Genomic DNA, 27897 nt, shown 5'->3' on the forward strand with positions numbered 1-27897 from the left:
TGCACTCAATCCACCTTCTGCCTTCCAAGTCTTGCCCCTGCTCCCTTGCACAGCTCTGACCCACTCCAGCCAATAAGCCTCAGCTTTCATCATAGCCACAAGCCTTGGGGGAAACTGCCCTTCATTCTGCAAGGACTGAGGCCTCCCTGTCATGCCCAGCTGCAAGAAGACTCAAGGGCTCCTATACGAGGATCTCAAGTGCTTGGAAAAGGGGTGTTACCCCAGGTGATGCCCTTTGTACAAGCCAAGGGGCTTGGTTTCCTATTAAGCCCGCGGAAGGAGTGGCAGTTAAACACCAAGCTTCAAAGAGTTGAGGATTTTCAAAAATCGCTTTTGGGGAATCTGCAGCTTTTATTGGAGGTGTCAGACATTAATGAGGGTTCTGGATCATTCCCAGCCTGCAGAGCCCTCTCTTCCTCTCTTCTCCGCCCCCACTCATTCCAGCAACCAACTTCCCCACTTTGATGAATCAGGAGAGGCTGAGAGTTCAAGGGGGTATTTCTGTCCCACTCTCAGCCCACCTTCTCCCCTTTTGCTTCAAGAAGATGTGGAAGCTGAAAGGACCCAAGATGGGGGAAGAGGGTACAGAACTCAAGGGAAGGGCTGGGGAGCAGGTTCAGACAGAGGCAAAAGAACCCAGCCTTGCTTACCTGCTCCTCTGGAAACAGTTTCGTGGCAAAGAATTAGGAATTCTGGAGCCGCCCGAATGCCAGCTGGGATGAAACCCTCAACACACGATCACTCCCTCTGGGCAATGATCATGCTCTTAGATATTTTGAGATCCTTAAATGGAAGGAGTTGTAGGAGCTACATTTTGTCCAAATACGTAGTTACATATGAGCTTTTCTTGACCGCATTTTCAATGCTGATTGAGTTCCCAGTCTTAGGATGTACCTAGTGAACATGAAAGGTAAGTGGCATATCCAAAACAAAGGTGTGCCTTCCAATTCACTTGGAACAGACAACATGCTCAGAAGTATTTGTGGAATGAATGCATGCATTTGCATATGCGTGAATGAATGAATGAGCCTGTTTTATCCTTCTCTTTATTTACGAAATGAAGACATTAGATTAGATGTTAGAAATTAGACACTGGATTAGATTAGACATTTAGTTTAGACATTAGAAATTACTCTTGCTGGTTAGGGATTGGAAACTCTGAAAAGACTATACCATGAGTTGTTAAAGGAGAGGTCCACTGTCCTACTCATGTTTCAATAAATGACGGATGGATGGATGGATGGATGAGTGGAGGAATATACAGTATTTTGACCCCTGGAGTTCTAGGGGAAGAATAAGACAAACATATATCATTAGTCCTGCCTGAGGCAGGAGGATGGACAAGATGACCTATTGGGTCTATTTCCAACCCAAGTATTAGTATCTATAGCCAGAATGTGCAATCAGAAACATTTGTGGCTAGACCCTGAGAAGATGTCATTACTCAGGTTTCTTAAAAGTTATTTTTCGCTAACTTGTGAACAGCCCTCAGGAAACTCAGTCTCTCACACTGGGGCAGGGTGGTCATCTCCACCGCTGGCCCCTGGAGCCCTCTTCTGATGCCAGTAACCATGATGACTCAACACGGTCACCCATCAGAGTCCAGGGCTCCTCCATTCTACTCAGAGAAATCCCCTGAAAGAAACTGGGGAAAGAGTTCTGTGCTTTTCTGAACACCTTCGTCCTGGAGAATGTGTCCCAGGTCAAATATAGAGAAGTGAAATGGAGATATACAAGGCTTATTGGTTCATTCCACTTGAGGAGCAGGTGGATCTTAAGAGCAATACACTGGTGGAAAGTTCACTTTTTAACTTCCAAGAACCAACAAAGAAAGGAGCCCACCTGACATTGACCTTGAGATAGACTTCTGTCCCATTCTTCTCCAGACCTCTTGGTCTCTCTCTTTGACTTCCTACCCTTTTCCTAAAGTCCCTTCTTTCTGGTTGCCTGGACCAGTGTCCCTGCCCCATCCCTTCCCACAGAAAGCCCCCTTATTGATGGCCTAGCTGGCATCAGTGTGATGGAAGCCTTTTAGTCTCCCATGGGAGAGCTGTGGTCGATGTCCTCAGTAGCCTAGAAGCAAGCCTGTCTCCATCCATGATGAGCACTAGCTTTTTTCTCAGCACCAATTATCTGGTCTCTTATGAAGAAGGGCTATCTTTCTGAGCTTGTCTTTGACCCTGCCCCTTATAAAACAATAGCCCCAGCATTAATTCATCTAAGGAGCATCACCCGTTCCTGAGCTTGGCTTATAGTAGAAGTGTCACCATGTCGGTTGTTCACTGTTCTCAGCATCTGGAATGACTAATGGTAGTCAGACTAATTCCTAACATCACCAGGATGAAAGGTAGGGAGGCCGCCTGTGAGTTCATTCTGCCATAAGAATTATCACAGAGAATGATCCATCCAACTAGGTCCTGTCTCTGACAGGGGTGAGGAGCATATGCTATTCTCATGATGTCCCATTGAAACGCTAGTGGGGGATGCGTCCAATAGTTTTATTCCCCCAGTTGACATTTATGCATGACTTGATCCTTTGTAGTTTACCCAATGTGTTCATGCACATTGTGTCTTCTAATCCAACTTTAGGAGGCTGATAGCATCGTTGTCTCCATCACACAGTAAGGAAGCTAAAATTTGGAGACTTGTCCAAGGTCATATAATTGATAAAAGGCTGAGTAAAGCCTAGAACACAGGTGCCCTGACCCTTCTGGCTTCTCCACTTTACCCCTTTAAGACATGTATATATTTCACCTAGAAGTCATATTGGTACTGAGACTGCTACTACACCAGCTGAGAGTTATAAAACCACTTTCCTCTTCGCCAGACAGGGCTAGAAGCTGGAGTTCTGAAGCTGCAGAGAGACAAAGGCCAGCACTTCTGATCCTCTAAAGCTTGGAAAGAAACCACATCATGAACAAAGACAGCTCATTGTATAATCTAGGGAGAGAGAGAAGAGGAGGAAGGGGAAGAGGAAGGAAGGAAGAAAGGAAGGAAGGAAGGAGCGGGAGGGAGGGAAGGAAGCAAGGAAGGAAGGAAGGAGAGGGAAGAAGGAAGGAAGGATGGAAGGAAGGAGAGGGAGGGAAGGAAGGAAGGAAGGAGAGGGAGGGAGGTAGGGAAGGAAGGAAGGAAGGAAGAGGGAGGGAGGGAGGGAAGGAAGGAAGGAAGAGAGACCATCAAACAATTCTCTAAAGATTTCTGGGAAATCACATACTCGATACAGAAACTGCATGCACACACATGTGCACACATGCATGCACACACACACACCCCCCACACACACGTCTGTATGAGGGTGTAATGGAACCAGCATAGGCTCTGGAGCCAGGTGGACCTGGTTAGTTTCCTGGCTCTAACATTACTGCTGTGAGTCTCTAAGTAAATCACCAGATCTCTCTAGGTCTCCTTTTTTCTTCATCTGAGAAGCGAGGGAATTAATACCCATCCAAAGACCTCAAAAAGCTCAAGTGAAATGTTGAGCTAGAGACTGGAGGAGACAGGACTGGGGGACGTGCCCAGTGGGAGGCACAAAAGCCCTAAGGGGAAAGAGTTTGAGACCCTCAGATAACCATCTTAGAAGTCACATTGAGGAAACCATTCTCCAGCATTCACAAACCCCAGAAGAAAGGTCACATTCTTTTCTCCTTACGATTTTGATACCAGGCCCAGTTTCCCTCCCTCTTAAGAATCCTTTCCACCCATCACCACCCTAATGCATCCTCCAGATTTGCCCAGAGGACTCTCAGTTGCCTCTATTCAGCCATGCTGATCTCTTCACCCTTAGCTTGTTTCTGTGCCAGAACCAAAGCCCCGTGGATGGGTAAACCTGAGACAGGCCTGGGCCTTCTGGCCTGAGCTGGGCCTCTCAACGGCGCACTGCAGAAACAGCAGCTGAGAGAGAGGGGCCTCACACTTACGGAGGCTAATGGAGGGCCTGGATATGTCAACCCAGAACTGAGATTTGAAAAGGTCCAGGGAGGGGAAAGGGCCAGGCCCACTGCACTCACTTTACTGACCAATGCCAAGGCCAAGGGCAAAACTGAGAGTCTGAGGTTGTTGAGCAAATAAGCTGAGCTAGCCTAGAGCTCTGCAAGAGAACAAAAGGAGGTGGAGATGGTGGTAGCCACCAAGGGCCAGAGAGGGAAGCTGGGCATTGATGAGATGGACAGTCTGCAGCCACAGGTGCCCCTGGACATCAATTCAGTGGACTGAGTCAGCAACCCAAGCTGGAGGCGTGGAGAAGGCGATTGGGCTGGAACAGGCCCCTTCAGAAATAAGCGTGGGTGATGAGCTGGGAAGGAAACAGAGGCAGCTACATCAAGCAGGCCCCTGGGAAGCTCCAGCGTTAGTGGCCCAGCACTGTTGCCGTGTTCCCAGGGCAGCTTTGATCCCCAGCACATGGAGTATCACCACAGGGGCCGGCAGTCTCTGTTGGGGGAGCCAGCCCCTCTCCTCCTTGCTGCCTCATTAAATCAGACCCTCCCCTACTCCCACTCTTCTTTGCGCAATATCTTGGATTTTCTTCTGCCCCCGACTTCCCCACAACACCCCACCCTCACACTCCTTCTTATTCCAGCCTTTCTCCTCCCTGACTCAGCAAGCGGGGAGCTGCCTCATCCAAGCCTAGAAGGGCAGGAACAGACACCCTTTGAAAGCTCCTCCGTGGCAACCTGCATCCTACTCCTGGCTGTGTGACCTGAAGCATTCCATGACCTCCCTGTGCATTGTTCCTTAAGAGAAGCGAAGAAGATTCCCGCCAGCCCCTGTACTCTGTAATTCTCATCTTCTATGCAATATTAGTGGGGATGGAATCTCCTATATTCTAGACGCTGAGCCAAGGAGCTTCAAGGCACTTGAAGTTCCGAGAAGTTAAAGCAATTACCCAAGATTGCACAGCCAGGCAGCAACCGAGCCAGGATTTAGAACTGTGATCTGTTTGCTTCAGGCCAGGTACACAAGAGCCTCAGCAGTTATTAAATGATTGGCTACAGATGATTTACAGATTTTTTTTTTTTTGAGATGGAGTTTCGCTCTTGTTGCCTAGGCTGGAGTGCAATGGCACAATCTCGACTCACTGCAACCTCTGCCTCCCGGGTTCAAGCAATTCTCCTGCCTCAGCCTCCAGAGTAGCTGGGATTACAGGCATGTGCCACCATGCCCAGCTAATTTTGAATTTTTAGTAGAGACAGGGTTTCCCCATGTTGGTCAGGCTGGTCTCGAACACCCGCCTCAGCCTTCCAAAGTGCTCGGATTACAGGCGTGCGGAACACCACACCCAGCCCAGATGAATATTTTAACAGTGACAGGGAGAGAAAGTCAGTGGGGTGTGCTGGCTGTAACAGCTCAGGGTCCCCAAGGCTGGCTGGGTCTATTACTAGAATCTGTTCACTCACCTTGTTCCCCTCTCTCCACTTGGGAATGCACAGCCTCTTCAGGATCCCCACAAGTAACAACAATGTCAGGGGGACCCACTGAATGGCCCCCTGGGAAATTCCAGCCCAGCTAATACACCCTCGGGGTCCTGTGCAGGACCCTGATCTCCTCTACAGGGAGTGACAGGGAAGGACACAGCTCTCACTTCCTCTGCAACGGGCCCCTGCAGCCCAGAGCTTGGGGCAGGAGCCTGGGGGAATTGGCTTGCGAGGAAGTCCTGGGTTTCCTGGGCATCTGACTCACGGCCTAATTCAGGGGAAAGTTGCCTCCACCCAGCCTGGGCCCCAGCTTTCTCCTGTTAATTGAGACAATGACCCAGCTCCCAGGACTGCTTCCAGCTTGAAAGGGGCTTTAAGCTGCCGGGATGAAAGGCTGGGGTTGAGTACAAAGCAGCGCAAGCTGTCCTGGGAGTGGGAGGCTGGCCCTGGGCCTTCTCCAGTGCCCCCACCCCAACAAGGGCTGAGTCACTTCCTCCCTTCTGGCTGGATTTCACCTCAGTCATCCAGACACATCGAACTTTGGAGGGGCAGGTGATGGGGGGTGGAAATGAGGGGACGGAGGGGCAGCGGATGGTCCCAGAGAGTCAGGCAGGAACCTCAGTCACCACCAGAGGTCCCTATCCCTGGAGGGGAGGGAGGTGCTGAGGTCCTTGATGCTGGAGGAGCTGCGATCATGCATCATAGCTGCATGACTCTGCTCTTGATGTGTCTGGGGGAGCAGGATGGCTCATCCAAGAGCATCCTTGGTTACGCGTGAAGTAACCCAGGAACAAAGAGGCAAGGAGATTTCCCAAGGTCTCACAGTACATCTGAGGAAAGAGCAGATCTGAAACCTGTAGGCTCCCAGAGCCCCTCCCATGGGCACCCAGACCCCAGATCACTCACTCATGTACCTGTGAAGCTCCCCCATGAGCTCCATAGCACTGCACTTTGCATTGCGGGGGCACCATAGAACTACAGACACGGTCTTCGCCTTCAAGGAATTTCTTTTGCTGCTAGACTAATGTCTTATTAGTACCTGGAAGGATCACTAGATATTTCAGGATTTAAAACAACAACCAAGAAAGGGATGCTGAGAGGGAATGAGGCAGAGGTGAGAGCTCCTAAGGAAGAGGGTCCCCGGGCTGGCCCCTGCCACCACATCAGCACGACAAGGCCCTCCAGGACATTCTCCTCCTGCTGCCCTCAGGTGCATCCATTATACTAAGCTCACCAAGCCGGGCTCCTCGGGTTCTCTTGACCTGGGGGACCTCAAATCTTCCAGCTCCCAAGGGACTAGTGTTTCCATTCAGCATTCAGCATTCGGACATGTAATTAACAGCCAGAGCCCACTCTGAGCCAGGTCCTGGGCTATGGACAAAGAAGTCCTGGTCCTTGCCCACACAATAGAGAGGAACCATCTGCAGCCACTGGGCTGAAAGTCGCCTGTGCTGAACTGGGAGTCGGTACAGGCAGGATGCTGTGAGGGCCAGGGAAGCAAGTGCGATCGGGTTAACTCAAAGCACAGAAGACAACTCACTTGAACTTTGGAACCAAGACCCTTCCTCTTTCCTGTTTTGAGCCATCTCCCCCCAATTCAAGGCCTACCCTGTCATTCCTGACCTAGTGGAGGTCAAACTAAACCAGCCTGACCTAGTGGAGCTCAAATCAAGCTCTAAGCAGTTTCTTCCACTGGGCGCTTTCTCATCCTTGGAAACTCGCCAAGTGGAGATAATAATGGCATTAGTGGGTTGCGTGAACATGTATGAAGTCTTAGGACAGCACCTAGGTAGGGGGCAGGTGCCTCAGCCATTCTTGTTCCTTTCCTCTTGGTACTTTCAAATCCACGTGTATTCGAAAGCAATGGGAAGTGTTTGTGTAAACCGTGAAGAAGTCTCCAAAAGCATGGGTGGTTAAAAACCAGCACCCTAGCGTAAGGGAGACTGTGCAGTGATGGTAGTGGAGGGCTTTACCACAGAGGAGGTGCAGGCCTTTCTGTTGTTTGAAGTGGCTTGGGTGGAGTCTGGCCCGGAGGCAGGGGGCTCCCTGCAAGGACCTCTCAGGTTCCCTTTTAGTTGGGCCCATCTGAAGGTTGCAGAGAAGACACAGAGGGGTGGAGTATAAGCGACCCGTGGGCTTGTTTTTGCTAGTTTTCTGGGTGCAGGGCTTGCTCCTCCTGGCACTGGTCCTTCCTGGGGCCCTCGGCTCCAGCTTGTTAGTTTTAACTGGAACAATTTCCTTTGAACTCAGTTTGAATGAGCATCACCATGGCGATGGATCAGGGTTTTCACAAGTCGACCTGGTCTTCACCCCTTAAGCAATTAGTTCGAAGGAGAAAAGGAGAAAGAGGAGGAGGGAAGAGGGGAGGTGGGGGAGAAAATGGAAAGGAAGGGAAGGGGAGAGGAGGAAGAGGAGGAAAACTGGAGAAAGAGAAGTAATGAGGAAGGAGAAGAGGACGACACAGGAAAGATGAGGAGGAGGAGGAGGAGGAAGGTAAGGAGGCTGGGGAGGATGTGGCAGGAGGAGGGAGAAGGTAGGAAGTAGAGGAGAACCATTCTGCCAGGCTAAGCCCAGGGGCCTAGAGTACTCCAGAGGCCCTTGACCTTCCCAGCCTTTCCCACAGCCCCACCTACTGGGAGAAGCCAGAGAAGCAAAGGAACCAGATCTTTGACCTGCAGCCTGAGAGGAAGGACACTGTTCCAACTTTCTGCAGGGTCACCCAGGAGCCTGCTCATGAGCAGTCAGCACCCAGGCGACAAGCCCACCTTCATTCAGCCTCTTTCTCCTGCAAGACCAGGCTAGGAGGACACAAGAGCAGGGGCTTCGAGTCTGAGAACTGAGGAGAGGTGGCGGGTCCCCTAGGTACTTGCCCTAGAACCTTGGGCAAGCCAGCAGCCTCTGTCAAATGGCAAGGATGGCTCCTCTTCCTTGGGTTCAGGGAAGGAGTGTCAAGTGAGAAGGCTGGTTGCTCACAGGGGTTCTGTGCACTCCGAGAGCCCTGGCACAGACTCCACATGGTCTCCAGGGGCTCACTGCTTGCCTGCTTGTCAGCTCTCTCACTTGGCTGGGAGCTTCAGGGAGGCAGTGACTAGGTCTTCATCATCGTTGAATTTCTAGACACTAGCACAATGCCTGGCATGTTACATAGGCAATAAGTATTTTTCTGATGAATTAATGATTGATGAATTATTGTTATTTTTCCCAAAAATGGGTGGCAAGACTGGGGAAAGGAGACTAGCAAGCCTGAACCCACTAGAATTTGATAGAGATGAGATCTCCCTTTCTTCAGGACTCAGTATGTCCCCATGTCCTCCAAGAGGCCCTCCTGGATTTGCCACCCCGCGCCCCACCTCCCCAGACCCTTCACTCTAGAGCCCCACTGTGTTCCATGGCCCCTGCCATCATCCCCATCATCATGCAGTATAATCATTGATTCGCTCATCCATTTCCCCAGCTAGGTCAGCTCCATGAGAGAGGGACTATATCTGGTTCCCCAGGTCCTTGCACACTCCAGGCACGGAGCTGATGCTCTAACCATGTTTGTAAATACACGGACCTGAGTATTCCAGCCAGGGCCAGGTGTCAGGCTTTCTGAGGCCAGTAAAGGCAGTGCCTGGGGGAAACAAGCCTGTGAATGGAGGGCTCACCACACAGCATGCCAAGTGGAAAACAGGCCGGGAGAGGATGGGGGCTCCGGAGAGCTATCACTGATATCTACTCTACAAATGACTGAGGAGGAGAGGTGTTTCCTAGGCCGCCAGCCAGAACTCTGGCTATGAGATATGCCGAAAAGATTTAGGTTAGAAATCAGAATGACAGCCGGGCATGGTGGCTCATGCCTATAATCTCAGCACTTTGGGAGGCTGAGGCAGAAGGATCACCTGAGGTCAGGATTTTGAGACCAGCCTGGCCAACATGGTGAAACCCTGTCTCTATTAAAAATACAAAAATTAGCTGGGCATGGTGGCAGGCACCTGTGTCGTCACTATCTCCATCTGTCTTCAGAACCGTCCTGCTTCTCCCTCTCTGTCCCCACTTCTTACCCTTTGGCTCCTGTCTGTTTCTCCTTTCGCTCTTGTAACCTCCCTTCCCAGCCCTCACCACTGCTCCAGCCTCTTTTCCCAAGTCCTGCCTTGGCCTCTCTGCCTCTCCCTCCCTCCCCTTTCCTCCTCTGCTGCTCATTATAAAAAATAAATATTTCTAAATACGCCAAAAATGCACTCATCCCCCAAGGACCCCTGTCTAGCACAAAGGGCTGGTTCTTTCTGGCTGCTCCCTGTGGCCTCCTTCTTGCCCACTGCCTTTGAATCGTGGCCTCATTCACATGACTGGAAGGGCTAACAGGGCATTTTCCCACGTGTCCGGGTGGGGAGGAGGACAGGGTCGGGGTGGTAAGTTGGATGAAGGAGGGTGGAGACAGGCAGCTGAGAATCTTCCCAAAATTTGGCTCATCCTCAGGGGAAACAAACTGCTTACTTGATATCATGACTAACTCCTTGGAACCTACAGGATCCATTAGCGATGCGGGAAAGATTCGGGTTAGAAATCAGAATGACCATGCAAACCATGAGGACAGCCACCATGTGGAATGTTTGGTCCCCATGGCACAAAGATTTGGGCTTCTTCCTGGGATGAGTTGGGATCCCTTTGGCATGGAGGCAGAGGGGGGGCTCCGTGATTCCTGGGAGACCCTCTGGATGTGAGCACCTCTGAGATTCTGGAGGGAGCCCAGGGCTCCCTGTGCTCTGTCCTCCCACCCCACACCCCACCCTATGCTCTCTGCTCTCTGGTCAAGTCCCTGGTCCGCGGGAGCACTGACCTAGAGTGTGGAAGCTCCTCCCCTTGAAAGCTGGGCTGACCTTGCTTCAGCTGAGTCCAGGAGAAAACACACATCTGACACACCCCAGGGCTGGGGGAAGGGAGGCAGGAGCAGAGGAGGGGAGCATCCAAGGTCCTGAAGTTCCAGAAGGAGTCCAGCCTTCTCACAGAGCCTGAAGCATAGGCATGGGCAGAGCGGGTGCCGGACCTCCAAATGGCTCTCCCTCTGCACTGTGGAATCACTCCCGCAGGAGGCAGGTGGTGGGAGAAGGCCTTGGCCTCAGCATTCCCCTGCCCTTGTGTCCTCCTGTTCTGAATTTCCTAATCTCTTTCCTGCATGTCCCCTCAACAACCTCCCCTCCCCTCCCTTCCCCACCCCACACCACAGCAGCTGGGCTGCTGGAAGTCGGGAGTGTTTATGAGTTAATCAAAAACTCCTGTACTTTGCTCTTGAATTGAGGCCATCATTCCTTTGTCCCAGGGCAATGGGGTCAGTTTGATCTCTCCTGGCTTAAATAGTGTGTAGCAAAGTAAAAGGGAAAAGTGGGGGAAGGAGAAGGGAATTTAAATTTATCAAGGGCCCCCTGCTAAACATCACGCCCTGGGCTGGGTGCTCTGCAGAGACCAAGCTCACAGCCGTGCTAGTAGCTGGGTGTTTCCATGTTACATTGAGGAAACCAAGTTGCAAAGACTTAAAGAAACCTGCCTCAGATCTCATAAATATGAAGGAAAGTGCTTTGAGGCTTCCAGTAGAGTTTGGAGGGTGTTCCTAACCCAAGATTGGGTTAAAAAATTCCATGATTGTCCACAGAATATGGACAGAAAGCTGAGAATAGCTGTGATGTTCCAGCTTGGAAAGAAGTGGGGGGTGGGAAGGGCTGAGAGGAGGCAGGGGCTGCATGCAGACTGGGCTCCTATCCAGAGGAAGAGCCCCAAGGGGGATTGGGAAGGCTTGTGAGGTTGGAAATTATGGATGGAGGGGGCTAAAGAGGAGGCCTAGAACTCCCCACTCCAAGAGCCCTGGAGAATCCCGGTCTGGCCTGAGAAGATCAGGAGTTTGGGATAAATTGCTAGAGAGGCCTTGTCCTCATGTGGGCCAAGTAAGCCCTTAAAATGGGTGCCCAGCAAAGCAAGGGGGTCTGAGGTGGCCCAGCTCTGTCCCTGCTCCCCACAGACACCTGCTACCCTGGGCATCCTACAGCTGCACTCAATCTGCCCCTCCTTCCTTCCTAGGCCTTAGGAAATATCTGTTCATTTTGTTTCTTTCCACTTTCTCTCTCCCCTTCTTCCTGTCTCCCTTCATCTGCCTGCTCCTCCCCAATCTGTCCTGAAGAGTACATTTCTTTCCCCATCAGGGAGCCTTGTGGGAATCTGGGGGGCCTGGGGCTGAGGAAGAAGAGACTTCAGATCCAAGAGCAGCCCTGAAGGATTGAGGGAGGCAGAAGGGGTGTCAGCCACTGGGCAGAGGAGTTCCTGGCAGCAGGGAGGGCCATGAGATAATTAGCCCTAGAGCTTTCTAGGCCTCTGGAAAGATGTGGGGTACAGGAACAGAAGGGAAGGAAGAGGCAGGTCAGGACTGGGGGAACTCAGGTTCCCTGGCCTGCCTGACAGAGACAGCACATGGTAGAGTTGAGAGGGGAGCCAGGGTCAGGGACAGGGCAGGCAATGGGAAAGAACAGGGACATTCCCAGGCTCAGGAGTCCCCAGGTCTCCCAGGGGAGGGTAGTCCTCGCCTGAGGTTAGGTGGCGGGCCCCGACTGGCTGGGAGTGGGTTTCTGTACGTGGCTGGAGGTGAATCACACCTTCTGTGTGGGTTGCATGTTTATATGTGGGTGTGCCGAGTCAGCATGCGTTGTCCTGCGTGTCTGCTGGTGTATGTAGGTGTTACTGGTGGGTGACAGGTCAAGGGTGTGCCCTGGTGAAGCGGGAGGGTGCCTGTGTGTGTCTGTGGGCCTCTAGACCTGAGGAACCATGCTTGAGTTTGTTCTCAGAATGTGCTGGCATATCTGTGTGCCACGTGTCCCTTTCTCTGTCTCTGTGTGTCCTACTGAAATCGGCTGTGTGCAGGAGTGTGTCTGCGTATGTGGGTGTGTTTGTGCAGGGGCCAGGGAAGGGTTATTCATAGAAGCAAGAACTGACTCTGGTGGGACACTCGTGCAGAGATGGGGAGGCACGTTGGGTGGGTAGGTGGGGGGCAGGCACTGTGTACACCAACGTGCTCCGAATTCCAGCAAACTCCAGTGCCTGAGTTTCCAGCTGTCCCAGCTCAACTGTGCACAGATGTGTGCCGCTTTGCTACAGCCATAAACAGACCTCCCAGGATTTTTCCAGAGGAAACGCAGAAATATTTTGGTGTCTGCTCTTGGTAGTAGGAAAGAGAGTGGGGATGAGGCTTGAGGCTAGGGCTTCGAAACAGAGGGACCACAGTCAGAGGGGAGCTGAAGAGGCAACAGCATCCCCCACAGGCCAGCAGGGTGGGGGAAGAGCTGTGATGGCTTCCAGTTGTGGGGTCCTCTCTAAGGCCCCAGCTAGCAGCTGGAAAGTGAAGTCCCAGTTGCCAGTGTAGGGGCAAAGAAGGAAAGCTTCCCCCTTCACCCTCTGAAGGTTTGCAGAAAGTGAGCTGACAAAAAGCAGATCAATAGAAAAAAGAGGTAAACGGATGTTATTTAACATGCATAGCACAGGGGTATGGCGGGAGAATGATTACCCGATAACCCAGAGAGGTCCAGGTGCTTGTAAACCCTTCTTTATAGTGGAAAGAGACAAGGTGTTACAGGCATAAATACTTTTATGGTGGGGGATGAATGGAGCCAGGAGGCAGGCATTATCTTGTGAATGATTCTTTTTGGAAACTGAATGGGACCAGAGAACAAACAATAGTTTGAGACACAGTTTGGGCTCTAGATGTGGTGTTTCGTGATCAGTCTCTTCCTCTGTGGTAGGAGTTTTCATCTCCTCTGATTAATGAAATTTCAGGAGAGGGATCGAAGGCAATTCTGCTCCTGCTTGGGAGTCCAGTTTCCAGTTCGATATGGGAGCTTCAGAAGACAGCCTCATCCTGTGCTTTGGGAGAGACAGGGGCTTTTGTGGGAGGTAGGTCAGAGAGACCTGGAGGCTGCTTCTTCAATTCAGCATGTCAAAGTGCCATCTTTGTGGGTATCATTTTCTGAGCCCTAATACCACAGATGCTGGCCCCCCAGAGCCCAGGCCACTGCTGCTCCACCCTTCCCTGTCCCCCAACCCCACGGGCTGTACCACAGATACACACACACCCCCACCACCACCAGCCCACCACTCAACATCCAAACACACAAAGACACTACACAAACCAGCCACCCTGCACGCACCTCACCACCACATTCACATACGCACTCACTTGTTCTCTCACACATCCTATGCCCACAGTTCTAGGACCACAGTCACAGACACCTCACAAACACCTCACTGCACACATGCTCTGAGCCATACACCCTGGCACAATGCACACCGACCCCACCTCACCCCACGCCCCTACACACAGGTCCAGACTTCCCCAAGCCAAGGAAGGGGCATGACACTCTTCTTAGGCCTCTCATCAGAGCAAAGTCTGTAAAGGTTTAGAAGAGTGTGAGGTGTTCCTGTCCAACAGGATTACCTTGGTGAGTTGAACCCACCCACCACCTCCTGCCCTGGGCATAAATTCTCCCATTCAACTATACCCCTTCCTCTGTCCCTCTCCAGGGAGAAAAGTGGCCTCTTCTCAGCAGGTGACCCTGGGGATGGGCCCCGGCTGCTCTTTGCCCTCTGAGGTAGGAGATATCCTTGCACATTTTCTCAGCAAACTCTTATTAACCAGCTACTCTGTGCCAGGGAAGTGCCGGGGAAGTGGGAGGCAGGGGCTGAAAGAGGTGCTTTCTCCACCCTTAAGGAACTTACAGCCCAGCAGCAAGGATGACCATGGACTGTGCTGCAAGCCACTCCACACCCTGCAAGGGAGCGGAATAAAGTGCTCTGGAGTCCAGTGGTGGGAGAGAACACTGCCAAGCTGAGAAGGCAGGCAGGCTTCCTGGAAGAGGTGACATGTGGGCAGGCTTTGACCAATGGGCAGCATTTACCTGTGAAGGCCATGGGGGTAGGGAGAATTCAGCCTCACTCCTACCCACAAAGCTCTCTAGCACCAGGAACCAGTTTCATGAAAGACAATGTCTCCACGGATGGGAGGGCAGGAAGTGGATGGTTTGAAGATGAAACTGTACCACCTCAGATCATCAGGAATTAGATTCTCATAAGGAGTGTGCAATTCGCAATAGGGTTCACATCCTTTGAGAATCTAACGTTGAGGAGCATGGGCGGTGGGGGAACCCCTGCTGTAGCACATCATCTTGTTTTATTGTATTCATAGCACTTATCTGAATTTATCTTGTTTATTTGAATATCTGTTTTCTTTTGTCTCCACCTCTACAACGTAAGCTAAAGCCTCCTGTGTCTTGTCCACCACACTTAGTGACTGTGTCCCCAGCACTTAAAACAGTGTCTGGTGCTCTTTAAAGGGAGGAAGAAAGGGAGACAGGGAGGGAAGGAGGAAGAGAGAGAGAGAGAGAGAGAGAAGGGAGGCAGGGGAAAAGCTCACCTGCCAAGGCACAGGACCTGAAGGCCAGTCTGGCAGGAAGAAGATGATGGCAGGCCTTGAATACAGGTTGAGGAAGGTGGACTCAACATTTGCCAGTGGGGAGCCATGAGGTTTATGAGCAGGGCAGTGATGCATACAGGCCAGTGGTCCCTGGGCCAGCCATTTATGCTGCAGAATCTCCTTGACTATGAAACATATGGGTCTCTGATTTAGCCAATTGACAGGTAAACTCTACCTAGTCACAGGATTCAACCATGACCTTTGGCAGTATAGGTACATACATAAACCTATTATACAGCATTTTAGCTTACATTGTAGGGGTGGGGCCGGCCAAACACAGATGTTCAGATAAACAAAATAAATTCACATATGCCTTCTCTCCTTAGCTTCACCCTCAGACCATCCCACAGAAATAGGTCCTAGATGGAAACAGCTTATGGTACAAAAGTCATGTCTTTGAGAAAACACATTTGCATGGAACAGCCATACCATTACCTTTCTCTAAAGCACACACGGAGGACAGTACGGCATGCAGAATGGAGAGGGAAGTGGCTAGATCGCTCATACCTTCCTAGGAGCCCCCTTCTACCCTTTCGAAGTGGACCAAGCCAGTGCCTAGTGTCTCACCCTTGCTAAAGAATAGCTCACTTGATTTTAGGGCCAAAGAAGAGGGTGGTAAGGCCAGGCAGGGGCTGAACGAGAACCCTCTCGTGAGCTACCTGCCCACTTTCCAAAACTGAGCAGGACAAATGCAACGGGGAGGTTTCATTTTAAATGTTCTCCAGTTGGAGAAGGGCTTTAATCTCAACAACGAAGACTCGCCAGCCCTTCAGCCCCTGGGCCTAGGGCTGAAAGCTCTGGGCCTTCACGGAGAGGTCCACTGTCTGCAGAGTCCTGGCCATAGCTGGGAAGGAGGGATCCTGGGCTCTGGTCTTGACTACAGGACATCTGGTATCTCTGTTGGAGCCAAGTCGAATCAGATGCTCAGGCTCCTAGTGGGAAGGGGCAGAGCAGCAGAGAGATCTGACCTGGAAAGAGCATGTGGTGGGTGCAGGCACAGGGCTCTGGATGCAGGACTGCAGCCCTAACTCTACCGCAGGACAGCTCTGCTACCTTAGGCAGCTCCGTTACGCTTTCTGCACCACAATTTCCTCATCTGCAAAATGGAGAAATCATCACTCTGCCTACTTCAGAAGAGCACTGTGGGGATCAAATGAGCTGAAAGGGAGATGAAAGGAGTTTGCGCTGCACACAGGGAGATGATGAGGCCATGCCCTCCTCACTGTGGCACAGAACACGGTAGCAGGAGGGACTAGAAAGGCCCTGTACTCAGAATTAATTAGGAGGCTCTTGTTTCTTGATAACTGCCCAGGGCCTGAATCCCAGCCCCACTTCTCACCTGTAGGTGACCATGAACCAGACATCTCAGCCCTCTGGGAGGCTTGTCTTTGAAGCGGGAGGAGGGGAGGAGCTGGCTCCAGTGATTGCTAAGGTCCTGTCGAGCTCTGCATTTGTTCCCTGGAGCCTCCCTAATTTCCAGACTCTAAAGTTCTGAATTCTCCCTGCTGTCCCATCTTACTCTCAACCAAGGGGAGACCAGGGAGGAGGAAACTGGGCTCCCCCTGAACACACTGGCTGTCTGGCAGCTGAGAATGGCCTCAAGCAGGGAGAGAGGATGGGGCTTCCCAAGTGCTAGGGAGAGCAAAGGACCCAACTTGTGCTTACAACTGCTCCCTCTATGAACAGGCAAGAGATGGAGGCTGGGGGGCGGGGCCCAACCAGGGGGGCTGATTTGAACCCTGACTCCTCCTACTGCGTGTTTATTATTCTATCTTCATTTTCATTCATTTATGTGCTTGTGCAGCAAACATTTGTAGGGCCACTATTCTGTGCCAGGCACTGTCCTGGGTGTCGGGAATACAGACATGAGGACGTTCACAGCCTCGTGGGAGACGACAAGAGATGTAAACAGATGGTTCGCACATAGAGTGAGAAGCAGGGGGACAGGAGCTCTCCTGAGTACTGCATCCTGACTACTGGGTGCCACAGAGCACAAAGGAGGGTCCGCACCCAGCCAAGGGGGCCTCTCTCTCCTTAAACATCACAGTCAGCTTGCTGAGATGATGGGAAATACAGGAATCGCTTGGTGCCCAACAGCTTAAGGGGTGGTAAAGAAAAAACATCCAAGAGAAAGGTTCCTGGGTGGGATAATTAATGTTTTGACGAGGAGGAAAATATTAGTGTGTGTTGCTCAGCATGCAAACACCTCAACTAACAAAACGGCTCGGAGAAAACAAGTGGAACGGTGGGGTTTTTCTCACAAAGATTTTTTTTTTTTTTTTGAAAAAAAAGAAGAGAAGAGAAAAAGATGGCAGTCACAAATAACCTCCCGCAGCTGAAAGACATTCCCCACCGGGTGAGGAAAGCAGGGCCCAGCTCAGTAGAGAATCTTGCTGCTGCTCCTTCCTGCAGATGGCCGACCTGGCACTTAGACCCAGAGCCCCAGCTCCTGACCCACGCTGCCATTTCAAGGCACTCCTCCCAGTTGCTGAGGCAAGGGGGAGTTCTGCACACACCAGTTGAGCATTTTAAGGAAAAAGAGATGGCCGGGCACGGTGGCTCATGCCTGTAATCCCAGCACTTTGGGAGGCCGAGACGAGAGGATCACGAGGTCAGGAGATCGAGACCATCCTGGCTAACACGGTGTAAACCTCGTCTCTACTAAAAATGCAAAAAAATTAGCCGGACGTGGTGGCGGGCGCCTATAGTCCCAGCTACTCCGGAGGCTGAGGCAGGAGAATGGTGTGAACCCGGGAGGTGGAGCTTGCAGTTAGCCGAGATCGCGCCACTGCATTCCAGCCTGGGCGACAGAGCAAGACTCTGTCTCAGAAAAAAAGAAAAAAAAGGAAAAAGAGATTTTCCTGATTTGCTAGGGTGCATTCGGTGGTGCCACGTCTAGACAGCTGCCTCCTACCCCAAAGAGTATCTTCTCAGGGAAGGTTACATTGTCTCCGGCTCCTGTACTCAGTGGAAGGGCCAGCTTCCTCTGAGGAGATAAAAGGGTTACTTTTGTTTCTACTTCTGTAAACTGTAAATATGTGCTCAGAATCTCCAGGTGACAGGACAAGCCCCAATGCTCCACTTTTGGAATTGATGCCAAAGCTTGACGGAGCTGCCAATTCATGCAAGAAAGTCCACCGGCACCAGACGGGGTGCTCTTGGCTTGTTTCCAGACCTGCTGCCCTTCCCCAGCTGTAGTTCCGGGGGCATTGCCCCTCAGGGGAGGACTGGTACCAGGCGCCCCTCTGCAAATGGACACACCAACGGTAGAACTGGCTTGGGCCCTCCAGAGACAAAGTTCAGGAAAGATCCTCCTCCCATGATCGGCTCCAGAGTGCTCCAGGGCTGGGGCCTGAGGGAGGAGCTACGAGGCCGGCTTGCGGCTGTGGCAGCATGCTGCTGACCTTGAACTCACCTTGACTACCACCAGAGCGGCCCCAGAGGCAGGCAGGGGCCAGTCCTCCGCTGTGTTGGGACCAGAGGGAGCACACAGAGCCAGAGAAGTCCAGAGTCCTCACCCTTCACTGGGACAGGATGGGACCTGGGTCTTGCCAACCAGCTTGGGCAAAGGTAAACCTTCTTTGTGTGCCCCAGGGAGGCTCAGAGCCAGCAGTCCCCACTGTATGGGGCCTGTGCGGGGAGAGGGTTCAGATGTGCCTCACGGCTGCTGCTGGCCGATCCCAAGGTCTTCTTCCACCAGAGGCACCTCTGCCTCCTTGGCCAGCAAAGGTTGCCACATGTGGCCACCCTTCCCTGCTTCCTGCCTCCCCCCATTTGCACCCCAGGTGTGAACACTCTTCTCATGGGTGTTTACATGCCTACTCGAACACCACAGGCAAGTCCTTGGCCAGCCAGCTCCTTTCCACCCTAGACCCCACAGGTCAGGGTCAGGGACTCCCCACCTTTTATACAGTGGGGAGAGAGTAGAACCTGTGCTCTCAAAGTCAGAGTGGGCCTGCACTAGAATCCCAGCTTTGCCAGATACCATTTGGTCTTGACAACTTCTTTAACATTTTCTGAACAGTAACATAGCAAAAATGCTTAGTTCACAGATGTGTTGTATTAGATGAGACCATCTTTCTTTAAAAAAAAAAAAAAAAAGAAGCATCCCATTGAAGTTAGCTCCCTTCTCCTCCCATATTAAGTCAGGTTCCTAGCAAAGAGACTCTGAGAGCTTTGCATCATTTATTGGAATGCTGTGGGGATGAACCCCTGTAGGGGAAGTGGAGAGAACAGGCTTGGGTTGGGGGAAACATTGGACGTTGGATGTTGGCTGTGAAGTTGCAACCAAGGCCTTTGCCAACCCCATGGGGACTCTGGGGCTCTGCAGAGATATCCCACATTAAGGCAAGAGGGCCAGGCCTTTGTAATCCTCACCAACATGTCATTGGGTGCAAGGCGTCACTGGGTACAACATGTCACTGGGTGCAACATGGCTAACCATGTGCTAGGGCTGAAGCAGTGGCCCTCCTGGCCTGCTCCCCTCCTCCACCGCCACCCCTGCTCCTGCCCCTGGGAGGTCTCAGCTGCTGCATTCATCCGTCATCTGCACCCTCAAGAAGGGCCATAACTGTGAGCATCTCCCTTCAGCTGAGGGCAATTTCAGAGAGACAGAGCTGTGCACCTTCCCGGCCAACACTCTGGGCAGCTGAGGCAGTAAGCACCTCCATCCCAAAGGATGCTTTGGCCTCAGCTTCCAGGCACCCACCACAAACTCTCAACTCTCCCCACCACCCCAAACCTAATATCAGTTTCAAGAAGTGAGCTAAATTGACTCCAGTAGAGAGGCCAACAGGGAATGAGAAACTGAGGTTCCTGTTTGGGTCTAAACTCTTACCTAGATGCATGGATTGGGACAAGTCTTTTCATTTCTCTTACTCTCAGCTTTTTCATTTTTATTTTTGAGGCAGGGTCTCACTCTGCCAACCAGGCTGGGGTGCAGTGGTGCGATCTCAGCTCACTGCAGCCTCAACCTCCTGGGCTCAAGCACTCCTCCCATCTCAGCCTCTCGAGTAGCTGGGACCACAGATGCATGCCACCACACCCAGCTAATTTTGTTTTTTGGTTCGTTTGTTTTTTTGGTAGACAGGGTTTCGCCGTGTTGCCCAGGCTGTTATCAAACTCCTAGGCTCAAGCAGTCTGCCCACCTCGGCCTCCCAAAGTGCTGGAATTACAGGTGTGAGCCACCATGCCCAGCCTTCGTTCTCATTTTTAAATGAGATCTAATAACTTCTCTGCCTTTCTTACAGAGTTGTGGAGGGGAGGTAATGCCATCATGCAAACTGTGAAAGGCTCTGCAACCTGTGGCATTATTCTGCGATGGTAACCATGCAGACCGTAGAGTCTAAGGCAGCCCTAATTCCAGCTTTCTTTCCTGTGTCCTGTAAGTTTAGTCCCTCTTCTCAGGCCGTGTGTCCTTCTGTGAGGTGAGGAAACAGGCACCATAGCCATGGCCCACCAAAGGGGCATTGGAACACTCTGCTCCCAGGGCTAGTGAGAAAGCTGCTGCTTACAGGATGGAGTGGGTGGGGCAGACGCTTCCTCAGAGGAGGATTTGGATTCAGGCATGGCTTTCTCCAGAGGTTGAAGCAAGGTGTTAGGGGCCAGAAAGGAGATGGCAGATCCAGGGCACTGGTGAGTTTTCTCTGAGTGCCTCTGTTGTTGGCTAAACATGTGCTGGGGGTGAAGCAGTGACCCTCCTGGCCCGCCCCCACTCCACAGCTTCCAGCCCCCTCCCTGCCCCTGCTCCTGCCCCTTGGGAGGTCTCAGCTGTGGCATTCATCCATCATCAGCCTCTGCTTGCAGGGAGGAAGGCATGCCCCAGAAGCATCCTTTAAATCAGCAGGGCTGCCTCTACCCGCACGTGCGTCCCTCTGGCCCTCCCCAGAGGTAAATTGTGTTTTCTTCCCCAAGCCCAGCCTTGAGCCTCATTTCTGGGTGTTTACAGAGCCTGGTTTTATTGCCTTTCCTTTCAATTGACTGTGCCTCTCTCTTCGCCTAGACGATTTTACTCAATTTAATTCCTGCTTTCCCACTCCTCACTCCCTTTTTCTCTAATCCTTTTTGGTGGGGAGATGGGAGGGAGGAGCCCACACAGGAAACTGAATTTCCAATACCAGTACCCTCTATGGCAGTGGTTCTCAAACAGGGCTGTGCGCGAGAGTCACCCTGGGAGCTTGTTAGACATAGATGACTGCGTCGCATTCCCAAGAACTGCTGTTTCACGGAGGCCCCCCGACCAGCTCTTTGCACAGCAGTGAATGATGGCCCTGGAGATCCTAGCTGACTTAAGAGCTTGCACGCAGGCATCTTGGAGTCTGTCTGCAGCACCAATTTGCTTCAGCTGCAGGTCCACAAGAATGCAGGCTAGGAAGCTGAGTCCAGCAGATCACTCTAGGGTAATTTTTCTCACAATGCAGCCCAAACTCAGAAGCATCACGGCAATCCAAAAACTTGTTAGAAATGCAGATTCTGAGGCCCTACTGAAACCCAACCCGGGTGTGGAGCCTAGCAATCTGTGATTTAACAGGCCTTCCGGGAGATTCCGATGCACACTGCAACTTGAGGGCAGGGAGAAACACAGCAGGACTTCTCCAGCCCACTCTGTCTCCTTCATTCCTACCCCAGGAGAGCATGGTTGGCCTTGACCCTTCCTCAGAACAGGGTAGACGCTAGCAACACTGCCACCAGGGCCAGAGAGCAAAGGAGAGGGGGCCTCCCAATGTAGTGTCCCAGGTTCCTGGTATAGGTGGTGAGGAGGGAGAACGACCAGAACGACCCTAGGGGAAGATCCTAGAATGCAGCCCACCTGGAGTTCACAGGGACCTAGAGATCAGGCCACTCCATAGACCCCAAAACAAAGGAGTAGTGCTCCTACTGTGTGCAGCCCCATCTACCCCATCCAGAGTCACACTCAACAACAGCTTCGTTTTCAAGAAACAAAACCAAGAAAACCCACAAAACACCAAAGCCCTAACAAGTTAGGTCCCCTGCCCAAGGCGTCTCAGCAAATTAGCGGCCGAACCCAGACCTGAGCAGAAGGGAACTGCTCTGAAAGAAAATCCCAGCTTCTGGGGTTGCAGGGCTTTGCTGATTCATTCAGTCAATTGACAAGCAGCACCCACAGACAGCCAGATGTTACCCCGTGTTTATCTACCCGGATGTTCACACCAGGTCTATATGGCACGGGGGATCCTTCCATTTCTCTGATAGGGGAAAACTGAGACTTCCAAAAGTGAAGATAGTCTCCCAAGGCCCACAGCTTTGAAGAGGTAGCAGAGCCTGGATTTGAATTCAGGTGACCAGCTCTAAGCCTGGAGTTTGACCTAAGGCTGATTTCTCCTCTGAGAGCTGACAGAATCTTAATGGCCAAAGCAACAGCTCCTCTTGACCCTGGGAAGGCCCATAAACAGTGACACCTCCCCAGCCATTTCCCCAGGGACACAAGCCAACTCTGCTCCCAAGTGCCAGTCTTAGCCGAGGAGCCTGGGCAGAAAGGGCAGAGGAGACTCAGCTACAGGTAGAGGCCTCGGCTGTGCCTCTGCACTGCGCCGGCATCTAGGGCCCGGCTCCGGACCTCCACCCCCTCCTCCAGCCTTTAGCTCCCTCCCCACCCCACCCCCAGTTCAGCCCGGCCTTGGGTTGGGCCCCGCCATTAGTTCCAGACACCACGTCTCCTCTATTTATGGGTTTTTTTCTTTGCTTCTGCGGTTCTCCCTGGATGAATGCCCCCTTTCCCTGGATTTACAGCATCCTCCCGTGGTGGGGTTGATGTCACTTTAATGAGAGTTACAGCTGCCTTGACTGTGACTGCCACATTCCAATTTACTGCTTGGCCTCTAGAAGCCCAGCAGGGCTTCTCTCTGGCAGACAGGAGTGGCTGTGTTCTCTGGCCTGGGATTGGGGTGGAGGGTGGAGGACTGCAGTCTCCTTCCTGGCCCCGGCTCTGAACTAGGGCTCCAGGCTCCCTGGTGGATCCTGAGCAACAGACAACACCGAGAATCAGGGCAAGGCGGTGGGTGGGGGGTGGGGGAGGCGCGGCCAGGCGGCCGGGCGGCTGGGGGTGCAGAGTTAAGTCAACCCTACAGGTTTGGGGAAACAGAGCTCAAAGCTTTCCTGACCCGTTTTCCCCACCCGCCCCCATCTGCCCCAGTGAGAGCCAAAGTTCTGTAGCAGAGGACAGAGGGCAGAGGAAGGTGGGGGCATTCACAGAAAGCCCGTTGTTTGCTAGTTGAATCCAGATGTGGAGGGTGGGAGGGGGAATTGGGAGGGCACGCTGGAGGCAGGCCTGGGGAGGGGATGGGGGAGGGGAGGGAATTGGGCAAACAGAACTCCCCGCAGGAATGCCACAGATACCCTGAATCCTGCCTGGATTTCAGTGCCCTCTCACTGGGGTCTCAACGCGTCAGCCCAAATCAGCCTCCATTGTCTCTAGTTAAGAAATACGAGGCTTGGCTGGATGTGGTGGCTCATGCCTATAATTTCAACGTTTTGGGAGACCAGGGTGGGAAGATCACTGCACCCAGAATTTTGAGGTGAGGTTACAGTGAGCAATGATCATGCCCCTGCACTCCAGCCTGGGAAACAGAGCAAGACCCTGTCTCTAAAATAAATAAATAAGAGGCAGTATTGCCAATGGCCCCAGCACATATGAAAAATAGCTACCATTTATACAACAGTTATTAGATGCCTCTTCCTGTGCAGCCGAGGCCTCTGGCCACGTGGTCTTTTCTCTCTGCCCGGCTGCTCTGCTACAGGTCCAACCGAAGCAGAATGTCTGGCCTTGACCAGGAGACAGAGCAGTAGGGTGGGCAGCCCAGGGCGTTGAATATAGTACTTTTCTAAAGTCCCACAACAACCCAACAAGATGGGAATCATTACAGCCATTTTACTGACAAAAAACTGAAGCTTTACATCTTAGAGGTTTAAGTCCAAGGCCACACAGCTAGAATGTGACAGAGCCACAATTCAGACTTGGGACTGATTCCACAGTCCTCACTACGTGACCCATTTGCCCATCTGTAAGCAAGACAGAAGTTGGGAAAGGCTGACTGATAACCATGAAATGACCAGAGGCCCACCAGTTCCTAGAAATCTGAAGTTTGCTCAAAGCTGCCCCACAGTCATGCTGGAGACAGGTTCCAGGGGGCAAGATCCTGACCATGTGTTTATAATGTCCCTGCCAGCTGCACACACGCCCTGCCCACCTCCATCCCCTCCTCAGAGGTAAGAGGAGTCCACAGCAGAGAAGGAGGCCAGCACTGTCTAGGAGGACACAGGGTGTAGGTTCTCCCCAAGGCTGCTGACCCTGGAGAAGGGAAGGGTCTGTCCCTGCCCCGCCCTGCCCTGCCCCATCTCCCCATTGCCTCATCCTCTCTGGGAACGGGAAGTCCATGACCAGGTCCAAAGGCACAGTGGGAAGAAGGAGTCCGGGGCTGCAGGCTTGCGGTTGTCTCCCGCTGCCAGCAACTCTGCGGGCCCAATGGAGAAGAAAATGCCCAGGCCTGGGCATGAAGCCAAGACAAGGGGGACCCTGGGCTGTGTGGCCATAGAAGGCTCTAGAGAGCGGGAGCAGGAGCTCAGACTTTGGAGCCAGATGGCCTGGGTGTGCCCCTAGTTCTGCCACACTAGCTGTGTGACCTTGCTCCAAACCCCAGGCCTCACTTTCCTCCTCTGTGAAAGGAGGGAAATAGTAATCCTAGCTGCTGGAGCACAAGTGGGTATTAAGTGGGGTGCTGGATGTAAAGCACGCGGGTTGATCAAGAAACACCAGCTACTGCTGTTCCAGGTTCCAGTTCCCAAGCCACTATCATTCCAGGTCTCAGCCTCCCGATGCTTACTACAGGTAGAAAGATCCTTTTGGTTGAAACCAGTCACTTCCTGCAGGTCTCCGCAAACCTCTCATTCTAGGGACCCAAGGGACCATAGAAGTGTTAATTAGCCAAGCCTTAAGACAGGCCTAGGCAGAGGGAGCCTCGTTAACATTAATTGGTACTCTCAGATCTTCGCCCAGTCAGGATGGAGCAGCGCATGCTGGGACAGCCTCTCTGCTCTTGGGGTTCACAATCTGCCCAAGACTGTGCCCCCAGCACAGCTGCAGTAGAGGGGACAGCCAGCGACCCCTCCGCTCCCTCCCCCCTCACAGGGCCCAGCATTCAAGAGAGGCAGGGGGAGCCAGGGCAGAGGGAGGGAGGGAACTAACCTCTCCTGCAGAAGGGTCAGAACCGTGATCTTGGTCCAACCAACAGTCTTGGAGGCAACCATGATGCGGGCACTTTGCTGCATACCAATGCCAAAGGCTGTGCCTGGGAGGAGATGCCAGTCTCTATCAATGGCTGTCAACCTAATTTAATGAGCCGAAGGAGCCTGTTTAAAATGCAGAGTCCCAGGCAATGCCCTCCATGGTTGAGGTCCAGGAACCTGTATTTTTAACAAGCACGCTTTAAAGCAGGACCACACTTTAAAGAACTGATGTTTGTATAGCCAGTATGACTTAGTGTAAAGCAAGGCACACAGTAGGTATATAATAAATGCTGATTGATGAAATGAATGAGTGAGTGAGCAGAGCATGAAGAGACCATGAATGATTCTACAAAATATGAGCAGAAGATCTGCCTTTCCCCAGGAATTCTCCCCTAGGTAAGAGGTGGGCTCTTCATCTCTGTTTCACTTCTTTTTGTGGTTGGGACCAGACTTTTTCTACTGAACTTGTACACTGCTATCTCAATTCTAAGAGAATTTTAGTCCACACAGAAGAAACCCCACATAATCCCTCTCCCACCTCAAATCTACCCACAGAGGTTAGGAATCCCTGAGAATTCTATTTCCAGAAAAATGCAAATATATACACAAGGTTTTTTTATATTGTAATTTCCAAGAGTTCTGGACCCTGAAGCAAATTCATGGTTAAGGATCCCTGCTGGGGACATCCTTTGATCTGTGAATCATTGTTAACAGCAGGGAGCAGAACAAAGGTACAGGAAAGAGGACCTGGGCCAAGGAAGGGCTGCTAGGGCTTCATCCCTGGGTCAGGAAGCCAGGATTTGGCTCTTGGGTTTCTCGTCCATTCTGGGGAGCACTGAGAGGCAGGTAGGGCAGCAGGGTTGGAGCTAGAGGTCTGAGGGTCTTGTGGCAGGAAGAGCTGAGGTGACCCAAGAGTGTCATAGACACTCCAAACTCACTCCAGGGCTATCAGACAGGAAAGATAGCAAAGGAGGGTAAGAAGAAGTTTTGGCCGGGCGCAGTGACTCACACCTGTAATCCCAGCACTTAGGGAAGCCGAGTTGGGCGGATCACTTGAAGTCAGGAGTTCGAGACCAGCCTGCCCAATATGGCGAAACCCATCTCTACTAAAAATACAAAAATTAGCTGGGCATGGTGTCCCATGCCTGTAGTCCCAGCTACTTGGGAGGCTGAGGCAGGAGAATCGCTTGAACTTGGGAGGCAGAGGTTGCAGTGAGCCAAGATTGCACCACTGCACACCAGCCTGGGTGACAGAGCAAGACTCCATCTCAAAAATAAATAAATAAAACGTTTCACTAATCTCCACTTGGTATAGGCACCATCCTAATTGTATACTATATCACATTTAGTCCGCATCATAACCAACTGGAGTAGGTACTAATATCCCCTCTTTAACGTGGGAGGAAGCAGAGACTCATCGGTGTCAGGAGGAGGCTGTCATTGGCTCTATTTCACACAGCTAGCTAACAACAGAGCCAAGATGTCAAGATCAGGGGCCTGGGAAGGGTGGAAACTGCAAGCCCACTTCCTCCCAAGGTATGGGTCCTGCTCTGTGTCCTCCCCGGTTGCCATCAACAGCCCTTTCACACGTTCCACTCTGTTATTTGCAGGAAATAAGAGAGAAGTTTCAGGTGAGTGGTGACAACCAGATCCCCAACCCCTCTGCCTTCATCCCTGATGGCCTTGGCCAGTGCCCCCCACCCCCTCCCTGCCCCCAGTCACCACACAAAGTCTTGGGTTTAAAAGTCACTTTGGTCTCCTGCTTCCCAGAGTTATCATAAGAATTAAGTAAGAAAATGAGTCCAAAGTTCCAGGCTTACTGTAAGCAAATGATGAATCGTGACATGATTTCTCACCACTTTGTTTTTAATAAGTGGGTTATTTGGAGGAAGTAATTTAAAATTCCAAATAGAAGACATATAATATGATTTTTTTTAATTTTAAAGCTGAGCATTAATGAATCCTCTTCTTTCCTCGTCTATAAAATGGAAGTCAGAATAACACCCCTCACAAAGGTTTGTGCTATTTGACTTTGATGAGAATTCATGAAAAGTCTATGACATTCTCCTGCAGAATATCATCACATATAAATAACTCCTAATATGGATCATACTCTTTTGATTTGCACACACGATGTGCAGGTGAGAGAAACTGTTCACACTCAGGAAAGGGTGGAAAGTTTACATTCAAGTCAAGGACATTTGTGTTGTACATGAGAAAGAAATTTCTAGTTGAAAGTAGCTAAGATCCTGTGTTTGTACAGCAGTAATTGAGTCCCCTCGGGACATTATGGGGTCTTTTCCCTTCACAGACATGAAAAGAGATATACAGGACACTCTGTCTCAGGGGGCTGCTAGAGAGGAACCTGGCTGAAGGCATAAATCAGAGTTTAAGTGCATAGCATTCAAACTCTGCAAAAAGCATCAGAATCACAATTTGTAGTCTCCTTTTAAATCTTTTCTACAAGATTGTATAGTAGAAAAATAATAACCAACAAATGATTAGAGTACGCTGTCAACTCTTTACACCATGGTGTGCTCTATAACTTTATTAAGAACGATGTGTGGGCCGGGCATGGTGGCTCACACCTGTAATCCCAGCACTTTGGGAGGCTGAGGCGGGTGGATCACAAGGTCAGGAGTTTGAGACCAGCCTGGCCAACATGGTGAAACCCCGTCTCTACTAAAAATACAAAAAATAGCTGGGCATGGTGGCAGGTGCCTATAATCCCAGCTACTCAGGAGGCTGAGGCAGGAG

At 51.6% G+C, this 27897-nt stretch overlaps 2 long non-coding RNA genes across 2 annotated transcripts, besides 2 other annotated features; one reads left to right on the forward strand and one right to left on the reverse strand.

The window, feature by feature from the left end:
• Positions 1-331: 331 nt before the first annotated feature.
• LOC124902773 (uncharacterized) lies at positions 332-10619 on the reverse strand. The gene is made up of 2 exons (XR_007062923.1): positions 10271-10619; positions 332-2940 (listed from the first exon to the last, which is right to left on the reverse strand). It is a non-coding gene; the product is annotated as an uncharacterized LOC124902773 (long non-coding RNA).
• Positions 10620-11213: 594 nt separating this feature from the next.
• Positions 11214-16292, forward strand: LOC105369530 (uncharacterized). Its single transcript, XR_948101.2, has 3 exons — positions 11214-13867; positions 13950-14017; positions 14137-16292. It is a non-coding gene; the product is annotated as an uncharacterized LOC105369530 (long non-coding RNA).
• Positions 21891-22391: an enhancer, noted in NCBI's record as "H3K4me1 hESC enhancer chr11:120067578-120068078 (GRCh37/hg19 assembly coordinates)". NCBI's record gives its function as "activates a minimal SCP1, AML or CMV promoter by ChIP-STARR-seq in naive H9 embryonic stem cells {active_cell/tissue: H9 hESC(naive)}" and the evidence as "EXISTENCE:reporter gene assay evidence [ECO:0000049][PMID:30033119]".
• Positions 22392-22892: an enhancer, noted in NCBI's record as "H3K4me1 hESC enhancer chr11:120068079-120068579 (GRCh37/hg19 assembly coordinates)". NCBI's record gives its function as "activates a minimal SCP1, AML or CMV promoter by ChIP-STARR-seq in naive H9 embryonic stem cells {active_cell/tissue: H9 hESC(naive)}" and the evidence as "EXISTENCE:reporter gene assay evidence [ECO:0000049][PMID:30033119]".

Source organism: Homo sapiens, chromosome 11 (assembly GCF_000001405.40).
Source record: "Homo sapiens chromosome 11, GRCh38.p14 Primary Assembly".
In the NCBI taxonomy this organism is placed as follows: Eukaryota; Metazoa; Chordata; class Mammalia; order Primates; family Hominidae; genus Homo; species Homo sapiens.